General features: G+C 50.4%; 1 long non-coding RNA gene across 1 annotated transcript, besides 4 other annotated features; it reads left to right on the forward strand.

Annotated features, from left to right (window-relative positions):
* Nucleotides 221-824: an enhancer, noted in NCBI's record as "H3K27ac hESC enhancer chr2:111071639-111072242 (GRCh37/hg19 assembly coordinates)". NCBI's record gives its function as "activates a minimal SCP1, AML or CMV promoter by ChIP-STARR-seq in naive H9 embryonic stem cells {active_cell/tissue: H9 hESC(naive)}" and the evidence as "EXISTENCE:reporter gene assay evidence [ECO:0000049][PMID:30033119]".
* Nucleotides 825-1,428: an enhancer, noted in NCBI's record as "NANOG-H3K27ac hESC enhancer chr2:111072243-111072846 (GRCh37/hg19 assembly coordinates)". NCBI's record gives its function as "activates a minimal SCP1, AML or CMV promoter by ChIP-STARR-seq in naive H9 embryonic stem cells {active_cell/tissue: H9 hESC(naive)}" and the evidence as "EXISTENCE:reporter gene assay evidence [ECO:0000049][PMID:30033119]".
* LOC124906060 (uncharacterized) lies at nucleotides 5,661-10,785 on the forward strand. The gene is made up of 6 exons (XR_007088648.1): nucleotides 5,661-5,715; nucleotides 6,572-6,642; nucleotides 9,117-9,234; nucleotides 9,591-9,690; nucleotides 9,998-10,085; nucleotides 10,515-10,785. It is a non-coding gene; the product is annotated as an uncharacterized LOC124906060 (long non-coding RNA).
* Nucleotides 6,228-7,081: an enhancer, noted in NCBI's record as "H3K27ac-H3K4me1 hESC enhancer chr2:111077646-111078499 (GRCh37/hg19 assembly coordinates)". NCBI's record gives its function as "activates a minimal SCP1, AML or CMV promoter by ChIP-STARR-seq in naive H9 embryonic stem cells {active_cell/tissue: H9 hESC(naive)}" and the evidence as "EXISTENCE:reporter gene assay evidence [ECO:0000049][PMID:30033119]".
* Nucleotides 10,172-10,748: an enhancer, noted in NCBI's record as "H3K27ac-H3K4me1 hESC enhancer chr2:111081590-111082166 (GRCh37/hg19 assembly coordinates)". NCBI's record gives its function as "activates a minimal SCP1, AML or CMV promoter by ChIP-STARR-seq in primed H9 embryonic stem cells {active_cell/tissue: H9 hESC(primed)}" and the evidence as "EXISTENCE:reporter gene assay evidence [ECO:0000049][PMID:30033119]".

The following is an 11,188-nucleotide window of genomic DNA, read 5'->3' on the forward strand; positions in this document are numbered from 1 at the left end:
GAGGCGCCCACTGCTGCTCCCGATTGGGCTAGAGGCTCACTGTTGTTCCTGCACAGCTAAGTGCCCGGATTCGTTCTAATCAAGCTGAATACTACTCGCTGGGTTCCATGGTTCTCTGCCCTGACCCATGGCTTCTAATAGAGCTATAACACTCACCGCATGGCCCAAGGTTCCATTCCTTGGAATCCGTGAGGCCAAGAACCCCAGGTCAGAGAACAAAAGGCTTGCCGCCATCTTGGGAGCGGCCTGCCGCCATCTTGGGAGCTCTAAAATCAAAGACCAGCCTGTAACACCAGCATTCCCAGCCTGACAAAGATCCCAGGTCCAGACTGGACACCCACCCTTAGAGCCTCCAGACCAGAAGAGGCCACGTGCTTAAGATGGCTGATGTATCTGCAGAGAGAAGAAGGGCCTCCCCGGGGCTTTGGTGCAACAAAAGAACTGAGAGAAGAACTTTTATCTGAAGAATGTGAGTTTTTTAAAATTATCAGGCCAAAAGGGACATTAAAATGAGAGAGCAATCACCTCTGGCGTTCCCCTTGAGCTACGTGTTCACCCCTTGAAACTTCTTGCTGTTGCCACGATAAAGGGGACCAGCTCCTCCACGTGGACCTGTGGGTGTTTCTCATCAGGTGGAACAAGAGACTGAGAAAAGAAATAAGAGACAGAGACAAAGTATAGAGAAAGAAAAGCGGGCCCAGGGGACCGGCGCACAGCATACGGAGGACCCGCACCAGCACTGGTCTCTGAGTTCCCTCAGTATTTATTGATCATTATCTCTACCATCTTGGAGAGGGGGATGCGGCAGGACAATAGGGTAATAGTGGGGAGACGGTCAGCAGGAAAACATGTGAACAAAGGTCTCTGTGTCAGAAACAAGGTTAAGAAAGGTGCTGTGCCTTGATGTGCACATACATAAACATCTCGGTGCATTAAAGAGCAGTATTGCCACCAGCATGTCTCACCTCCAGCCGTAAGGTGGTTTTCTCCTATCTCAGTAAATGGAACTTACAATCGGGTTTTACACTGAGACATTCCATTGCCCAGGGACGAGCAGGAGACAGATGCCTTCCTCTTATCTCAACTGCAAAGAGGCCTTCCTCTTTTACTAATCCTCCTCAGCACAGACCCTTTACGGGTGTCGGGCTGGGGGACGGTCAGGTCTTTCCCTTCCCACGAGGCCATATCTCAGGCTATCACATGGGGAGAAACCTTGGACAATACCTGGCTTTCCTAGGCAGAGGTCCCTGCGGCCTTCCTCAGTGTACTGTGTCCCTGGGTACTTGAGATTAGTGAGTGGTGATGACTTTTAACAAGCATACTGCCTTCAAGCACTTGTTTAACAAAGCACATCCTGCATAGCCCTAAATCCATTAAACCTTGAGTCAACACAGCACATGCCTCTGCGAGCACAGGGTTGGCGCTAGGGTTACAGATTAACAGCATCTCAAGGCAGAAGAATTTTTCTTAGTACAGAACGAAATGGAGTCTCTTATGTCTACTTCTTTCTACACAGACACAGTAACAGTCTGATCTCTCTTTCTTTTTCCCCACACCACGAGTAGTTGTAAATTAGCCTAATAATACCATGCCAGACACTGCAACCACGTGCTATAGCTTCACAATATATAGCAAATCACTAATCCGTGTTATTTCTATAATCCAGTGAGAATTCCTAACAAACAGCTTTTATCAGCCACTTCCTGTCCCTCTTTTTTCCTTTAAAAACCCACTAGTAACTGCTGCTCATTGAAATGCATATTCGGGGCAACTTGAATCTATACTCCAGTATAGCAGTCCTCAAGCTTGGCCCAAATAAACGGTCTTCTTATGTGTGTTTTGCCTTTTAGGTTGATCCAACTATGGGGACTTGGCCATAAAAATGACTTGAAACACACAAATGTCTGAGGTTAGGTTTTTTTTTTTTTTTTTTTTTTTTAAACCAGTGCAGCAGGATGGAGTTGAATGGCAAAATTAGAGTGATTTCATAAAGCAAAATATGTCAGATTTTTTTGCTCTCCTGAGTACATGGTTCACACCCTATTGTTAGGAATAACGCTCAAAATCCTAAAGAAATTGAACACTCGAACAAAGGATTCTTAGCAAAGCAATTTTACCTCCGTGCAGAGGGGTGCCTCCTTGGCCAGTTGCCATGGCAGCACACCTGAACAAAGGGCACGAGAGCCTTTATTCCTGATGCAAGTCCTGCCCCTGTACCCTTTCCCCACTGGCCAGGGTCCGGTCATACAATCTAAACTAATCCCAGTTGGCTAAACATTTGAATTTTTTTTAGATAAGATGGGCACATAAAAGAAAGTGGAGAGGAAGGGGAAGGGGTGTCTGTAATGAACTAGAAAGTTAGTCCTCTTTCCAAATAAGGAAAGGAATGTGAGCTGGTACTGATAACGCCTGGTACTGTGGCGTGCCTGGGCATCTAACAAAGGCAAAAAGGAAAAAAGGTTGGGGGAGGGGTACTATGAATTAAAGAATAAAAGATTGATCAGATTATTTGAAGAGAAACCTCATCATGAGGCACCGTCTTGACGGCAGCACCTTACGTGTGCCAGTCCAGCATCACACTGTAGCCTGGAAAAAAACTGAGGCAGGGCTTATACAATGAATAATTCATTTGAGCCAAATTTAAATGCTATCGCCTGGGAAATACTTCCAAGTTAACTTGGGAAGTGTTCCAGAGAACAAAAGAGAGGCTGAGGCTTTGGAAACAAAAAAATATATGACAAATCAGGAGAGGGCTCAATTACAAAAGTTGTTTTTCAGCCATTCCAGTTGGTGTGATCATCTCTAGAGCAGTCTCGGAAGTCAGGGTATTGCTTGTCAGTGAAAAAGGCGGTCTGTAGTCAGGGACCTCCTAGCTCAGCAGAAGGCAGGCAGCTGGAGTTCTGGCCGTCATGCATTCTTCCCTTAAGGCATGCCTGTGGCTCAGCTGAAATGGCCTTCCTGCTCCATTTTAGGTGCCTTTACCAAACCACTGTCATTTTCCTTCCTCCACACTTTTGTTCACAGAGCACCTTGAGATAGCTCAGTTGATCCTCCATTATTGATCTCAAAGATTAAGGGGCCTGTTGAAACTCATTTGAGATTCACACAGTGATGTGCTGGTGTATGTGTAACAACCAGCTCTCCAAAAACAATTGTATATACATATATATGCATACATTCATTGTAAAACATTTTTGATATGAGGAATGTATGCCACACTACTTACAAATAATAATAAAGTAGACAATACTCTTAGTTGTAAATTCCATATTGCCATTTGATTCTCAAAGAACGCTTTTGTTAATTCTTGACAAATTATTGTTTCTGTAGCCAACCTATGGGTACAATTGACAAATAAGAATAGTTCCAATATAAATGATAGTTGATATTTTCCTTTAAAGAAAAACAATGCATACATATGTCACAACTTTACTCATCCATCCATAACATGAGCAACTTTTTTGCTGAATCGGATAATGGTTTTTAAATTTTGAAAGAATATTCAAAATAGCAGAATCTGAAAGCATCCCAGACCACAAATTTGCCCTCTTTAGAGTAATTTTCAACACTTAGAATGCAGATACAGATCACGCTTCATATAAACCACAACAGTTTATCTGGTTTGTCAGTGTGCAGATGAGAACCACAACTATTGTTTTCCAAAGAAGAGGGCTTCCAGACGTTCATGATGAGGGCTGCTAATTCACCCTAGTGTGTAACCTATGCAAGACCTCAGAAAGGGTGAGACAATACTGAATCGGTGAAATGTCACCTCTTCTGACCAGAATTGTGGCTCTGTGCAGAAATCAAGCTGGAGGGTGGGTTTATCTTCAAATCAACTCATTTCCTGGCGGCAGTTAGTGACGGTAAGGACACAGAAGAAAGATGGGTTTAATGGGTATACTAATTTCAGATTTATTTCTGCTGATTTTGCAAAGCTATGTTTTGTTTTGTTTTGTTTTTTATTTTTTGAGATAACCTCTTCTCTGTGGGAAGAGAAGTTTCGCATTCTGTTTGGCACAGCAGCAACTGCCCCAGGATACTGCAAATTCCTGAAACCAAAGCTGGAACCAGTTCAGAAGGAACAGGGACCTTGAAGGTATGGATAAGGTGATGGGGCACAGCGCTGACGTGCTTAACTAGTGGGGATTCGTGGGGTTGGATATCTGGATTTTTAAGAAGTTTCCAAGGGGATTCAAATGTATATCCAAGGATAATAATCTCGTCCGTGTGTTTAAAATCACAGGCTTTAAAGACAGACAGGCCTGAATTTGGTTACATCTTGGCCTCACAATAGAAAAGTGATTTAGGGAAATGATGCAATCTCTTCATCCATAACATGGAGTTCATAATAACAGATACTTCACAGAATGATTGATGGAGCAGAGGAAGTACTGTTCATATGATGTCTGGAAGAAAGCAAGCCCCCAAGAAATGATTGTCATTGAGACAGCCAGGTGGGAAGGGGTCCGCAGAGAAACTCCAACCTGCCTGCACACTGGGGTGGAGTTACAGAAGTTCGCACTGTTTGCAGCGGGGAGGAGCCTGGCCCCTCCTCTTCCTGGGTGGAAACTGGGATTCGATCTGCAAGGCAGGAAGCGCACCAGCAGGGACTCCAGCTTTGTGGAGGGTCTCTGTTTCCCATTTTTCCCCTTTTTGTCCAATAAGCTCCTTTTTTCTCACTCTTCAAAGTGTCTGCAAGCCTAATCTCTCATGACCTTGTGACAACAGCCTGGCTCTTAGCTGAACTAAGGAAAAAGTCCTACAACATCGTCATGACCATCACCATTATCATCATTGCTGTTATCACCTTCATCACCATCACCATCATATCAGCAACATGATCATCAACACCATCATCACCACCACCACCACCATCACCATTATCTTCATCATCACCATCATGTCATCATCACCAATCACCATCACCAATATCATCACCATCATCCAACATCATCACCACCACAATGACCGTATGACTTGAAATGGCCAGGGTCCTTCCCTGATTCTCACTGTCCCCTTCTGAAGTCAGGGCTCACACATCAAAAGCTAAAAAAACAAAAACAAAAACAAAAAACAGTTCCTGCTTCCCAAGCCCATTAGATTCAGACATCCTTAATTTGTTGGAGCAGTTGCCTTAACAAAAAGCCATCCATCCACTGGACATCTGCCATAAGCTCACCAGTTTTTGCTTTATGTGTGGAGTGGGAACCAGATTTTATCAGTGCTAACACGGAAGCCGCACCTAGGAGTGATTAAAAGGGAAGTAGGAAATGCAGCCAGACAGCCGCCTGCAGCCCTAGCTGCCCTCCCTTGGAATCTGGGAGAGGTCTGAGTATCAGGTCAGGTCTGAGTTTTATAAATGGGCCTGAAACTGCCCTTGGCTTTGAGGTTCTGACAGGTAACTTGGCCGGGTCTTCTTCTCTTGAGGCCTTGTGTTGGTGAGCCCCCTGCTCCACAGACCTGCCTTAGCCAGGCAGACTTGGCTCCCAGCCTCCCTTTCCACACTACAAATTGAGTTTTAATTGGCAATTCTTATCTATTATTAAGAACAATTACATGAATTCCCAGGAATTTTTTTACCAAGTAGATAAAAATAGATACACCTGGGTTCTTTTTGGGATGGTAAACTTACTTGATGCAGTGCAGCAGATGCGGCCATGCTGATTGGCAAGGCAGAGGCCAGGCCTTTGTGGGATGCACAGCACAGAGACGGTATTTCTCCTGCCCCTTCGTTCTTTACCAGGATGCCTTTTGGAGTGCATTCCAGCGGGGAGGCTAGGTCTGGGGCTCACTTCCGGCCTCCATCTGAGAGCCGGGAGACCGGGGCAGGTGTTGGGATGGCCAGTCCAAAGAGGGTCCTGGGCCTGACAGCTGATTAAACACCCACGTGGGTGACAGCAAGAATAGGGGACCCTGTACTCTTCTCAGCATGTCTCTCACTGCGTGACCTGGAGCACATGACCTTACCTCTCTGCCTCTATTTATCCACTGGAAAATGAGGAGCTTGTCCCAGACCAGTGGTTCCTCAAACTGTGTTCTTTGAACCCTGGGGGCTGTGAATGGGACTTGCAGGGGCTGCTTATGGAGGAAGTTCAGCACAGCAGGGGTCCCTGGGCCCCCACATGCCTTCAAGCCAAACAGAGCTGCTCCACTCAGATCTGCTTTGTTTACGAGGAGTCTATATCAACCTGAAAAATAAACTTCTGCGGCTAACAGAGTTGTTGTGCTGGGGCATCTCTCACCCCTTCCCTGAGAACTCACTAGGTTCCTACCATATGCCAGGCACCATGCTAGGCACTGGGGCCACAGAGGACAGACCAACCCGGTCCCTTCCCTCCTGGGCTTGGAGTCCAGTGGAGAAAGACGGACAATCTGTAAACAAACAAATAAGATGAATAATGGTGGGACTGAGTGCAAGTGGAGAATTAAAACAACGTGGTAGACACTTAAGCAGAACTCTGAGATGGTCCTTAGTGGGTGAGGAGCAGAGGGGCAGTGTTATGGTTGGCCATGGGATGAGGGAGAGTCCCACAGCTGAGGTCCAGCCACCAGTGTCCCTGTGTCTCAGAGCGGCCATCTCTGGGCAAATGCAGGGGCCTCTACATTCGAGTCCGGAAGGTCCCTGGGGAGCGGGCCACAGTGAGCATTGAACCATAGTCTTCACCCCACCACTGGAAGTGTGTTGAGTCAGCATGGGCTCAACTCAACCCCACACAGACCAGCTTCCACCACTGGCTCGCAGGGGCACCTCATGCAGGTCACTGTTCTCCCTGCATTCACAAAGAGGACACCGCTAGGCAGGGTTGCACGTGGGAAGAGGCCAAGAACAGGGCCTGGCCCACAGTGGGGCCACATAATTGCTCGCCTGCAGCCCTAGCTGCCCTCCCTTGGAATCTGGGAGAGGTCTGAGTATCAGGTCAGGTCTGAGTTTCAGAAACGGGCCTGAAACCGCCCCTGGCTTTGAGGTTCTGACAGGTAACTTGGCCGGGATACAGGTGTTCATCATTGCTTCCTGGGGGCTAGTCCGGGACCTTTAAGTCAAGCCCTTAGGGACATGAGTCAGACTTTGGCATCTCTGCCTCCCCCTCACAGCCCCTCTATTCTGCAGGCAAACAGCAGGTGCCCAATAAATGCCCAGGGCATTGAAAGGTGAATGAGTAATGATGCTGAGTGTGCCTGTGCAGGCGGGCCCCACTCAGAGGACTCCTCCTTTAGCCCTCCCACAGTCTAGCAGGTGGGCTGTCCCAGCACCGCTGCTTGCCAGGCAAGGAAATTGAGACAGCAAAACAGTAAGTTATTTCCCAGACCCCATAGCCGGCAAGTTCCCAGGGGACTGGAGCCTGGCAGTCTGGCTCTTCTGGAAGGACAGGGCAGGAGAGCAGAACACAGAACACGTCTCCCCTCTCTCTTCTGATGCTCTCAGGGAGGTCACATTTCCCTGGGGCCCTGGGAGAATCCTGGGTCAGATTACAGCAGCACAGGTCACCTGCTCCAGCCCAGACAGGCCCAGGATCTGGCCCATCCACTGGCCCGGCCCTTCCTGGCCACCACTGTAGCATGTCACAGCCTGGGCTCTGGGTGGGCCTGGTCCCTCTCCTGGTTGCCGCCACTGCAGGTGAGTCAACAGCGAGACAACACAGTAACACCCTGCACAGGGCCTAGAGCCTACACCTGCGTTCTGTCAGCCTCATCAGCTCTATGCAGTGAGGACGCAAGGCTGAGAGAGGTAAATTGCTTGGCTGAGGGCATGCCTCCAGTAAGGATCAGGTCCAGGTAGGAAACCAAGACATAGCCTTCACTGCTGCTGGGGAGGTGCCTGAGGATGGGGCGGGAGGGGGCACATGCTCACCAGCCTCCCCTTTCTGGGTTTCTCTGACCCACCCTCTGTTCCTCGTCTTCAGGCTTCAGCTCTCATCCCTGACCCAAGGGAGGCATTTCCCACACAGCTTTCCTCCCTTCCGGGGCTCTCAGGGATGGCGCCCTCCCTCCACCCACTCTGAACCTTTTCTGGAGCCCCTGAATCCCATGCAGCCTCAAGAGGTTCCTGATGCCCTAATGGATGTTAGCTTTTCTCTGTGAATTGTCTGTCTCCTTTCCTTGGGAGGGAGCAAGGCTGGGCTTCACATGACACAAGTACTAGGATTTTGCTTTGTCAAAGGAATGCATATGATTTATGTGTGTGTGTGTGTGTGTGTGTGTATATATATATATATAGTATTTTCCACTTATTGCCTATAATTCAGAGGTAGATATCGTGTCCCAATTTTGCAAGTGATAAATCAGTCTGAGAGAAGTTGCTAACTTGCCCAAGGTCACACTGCAAGTGGGTGGTAGAGCTGGGATTTCAGCCAGATCTGTCTGTCTGTCCCCAAAGCCTGCGGCTTCCCCACTGGAACCTGGAGCCTCTCAAGGCCTCCAGAAGGATTTGCTGAGCAGTTTCAAGATAAAGCTCAGTCAGCCCTCGCTTGGTCTTCAGTCCCGAAGGAGGCCACAAGCTGCCTTCGTGCCCAGCACAGGTTTGGTTTGCGTGAGTGGCTGAGGATGAGGCAGGAGCCCACACCAAGCTTCCTGACTTGCCAAGGCCACAGACAGGGGCTTGGATGCACTGCACCCGCACCCAGGCCAGCCCTCCCTCCAGGGCTTCAGGGTAGCTTTGTGAGGTCACTCAACTGCTTTGGGTCTCAGCCTCCCCAGCTGTAAATGAGAGTGTTTCTGTGCCAGGAGATGAAATGTCAGCTCCACTATTCTATGATGTTGATTGCAAGGCGCCCTGAGCTCCTGGAAACTCTAGGAGGTGATGATGATAACTGAGCCCCTGTGGCTTCCTCCCAGCTTAGGTTACCAGGCTCCTGGGCCTCACAGCCAGCCTGTGGCCTGTGTTACATGACCTCTCTGCTTTTCTCTCCCTGCAATTCATGCCAGCTGTGTCCTGAGCAGCCGACCTCGGCACCAGCCACCACGTCCCGTGTCCTCAGCGCAGGCTTGCTGTTACAGCTGTCACGAATTGCAGTGTTGGGCTGAAGTCACACCAATGGAGATGGCCAGCTCAGAGGGGCCATCTGCAGAGATGAACGGGAAGCAGGGCTCTCATACAGGCTCTTCACTCTTTGCAGGAACGGCTATCCCCTTCCCCCAAGGTGGAGCTGACAGCCACTGCCTGTGCCTTGTTGTCTGCCCGGCAGGCCAGCACTCCATGGCTGGGAGCAACCTGCAGTGCCCCCTGGGCTTTTAGTAAGGAGCAGACATCCCGGTGTTCCAGGAAGATAGGAGGGGAGGGAGGGAAGGGCAACACTGCCTAGGCAGGTTCGTTCCACAATGGACCTGAGTGCAAAGGGCTCCCAGGGGGATGAACACTGCCTGGAGATGCGTGCCAGGAGTCTGGTGCCCAGAGCCACCAGGGCCCACCCCAGGATATAGCCCCTGAGACTTTTGACCTTGATGGAGGGTGGGTGCTATGCCAGAAGTGAGCTGTGGCCTGGCTCTGCCTCTCACCTGTCCTGTGACCTGGGCGACTCCTCACCTGGGAAGTGGGGCTGGCGGTCAGAGGTGCCGCTTCCAAAGGACATTCTCTCCCCACTCACCATCAGCAGTTCCTGCTGCTGTGGCCTCCACCCTTGGACCAGATGAAGGAGTTCATCCCTCTGCCCATGACCCCACTGCTCCGACCCCTCCACCTGGGCCCCCATGGTGAGTCCAGATTGATCACACTGGTCTGGAGCCTGCACTGACACCCCAAGGTCTGTGTGGAAAGACCCTGTCCTCAGGCCTTTCGGCATTGACACCAGCTCTGAGTCATCCAGTTGGGGACACCCTTCTTTCTCCATCTCAGCCCATCCAGTTGGGACAGGCAAACATTCAGCCAGGCAGTGGGGCAGGCAACTGTACATGCCGGTTTATGTGACGGGCCTCCATGCCATCTTTGCTGCCCTGGCTGGGCACCTCCTCGGCACACAAGGCTTCTCCTCAGCCACTTTGTTTTCTCTGGTCTCTGCAGCTGCTGGAATGGAGTGATGGCTTTGTGGCTGGGCCCCAACAGCACCTGCAGTCGGCTCCCAGAACTCACAGACAGCGAGGACTGCCAGGTGACCCCAGTGGGAGGGCAGCTCTGTCTCAACCATTCTTTGCTGGGGAGAGAAGCAAGGAGGTTATGGGGAAGTCCCCAGAAGAGGCTAAATCTCTGGGGATCAGAACTAAGCCTCATTCTCCATGCCTCATTTATGAGGTATGCATGAGGTGTCCATGCTGTCCTTGGGGAGCAGTCAACACCTCCTGCCCATTCTGACCTTGTACCGCGGGACTTGCCTAACCTGGAAATGAGCTTAACCCACCTCCAGGGCTGCTGTGGGGATGGAATGGGAAGATGCACAGGGAAGTGTGAAGAGGCTCAGAGCGACCATGCCCACACAACACTCAGGAGAGAAGCCATGGAGATGTGGGGTGCACAGTGATATGCACACTCGTGGCAGCCGCCTCGTGACCCAGCCATTCCCACACATGCCATGTGTTGCCAGGTGCCCCGTGTGTGCAGTACAGGTGCAGAGGAGGACGAGGCAGGCCCCCTGGGAGCTGGCTATGCCCCTGCGGTGTCCTAGAACAGCTGCAACTGTTGGGACTGCAGAGCCACAGAGAGTTGGAGGAGAAGGTGAGAGCCTTTCCTTAGCCCCAAAGCTCCACAGACCACGTGGACTAATTCCTGCTCACTTCCATGTGCAGGGAATTTTCTTTTTCAGAGGAAGTTGGAGGGACAGAGAGCTTGGGGGATCCACAAAGAGTCTCGGCAGAGTGAACACCTAAGCTGAGGCCCTGACTCAGCTATGTGCAGGTTTGGGTATCAGTCACCATCCCGCTGCCTTCTCACCCCGGGCCCTGTTGTCCCTCAGCAGTGCCCACCTGAACAGGAGCCAGGCCCACAGTGCTCCAGCTGCATTTTGTGCTCTCTGCACTACTTCACAGGCAGAAGCCCCAGCTGCCAGCACTGCCCTGCCCCTCAGGTAGGTGTGACTGGGCTTCCCCAATGACATTCGGGAGGCACCAGACCCTGGAGTGAGCTGGGAGGGTCCTTGGGTCTCCTGTGTTTGGACTAGCCTGTCCATACCCCAGGAGCCCAGGTGGCCTCTGAGGGGTAGAGCCCAGCTAGCCCTGGGCCCAAACACACAAAGAACTATCAACACAGGAAGTGGCACAA

The sequence above is a fragment of the Homo sapiens genome, chromosome 2 (genome assembly GCF_000001405.40).
Source record: "Homo sapiens chromosome 2, GRCh38.p14 Primary Assembly".
Taxonomy (NCBI): domain Eukaryota; kingdom Metazoa; phylum Chordata; class Mammalia; order Primates; family Hominidae; genus Homo; species Homo sapiens.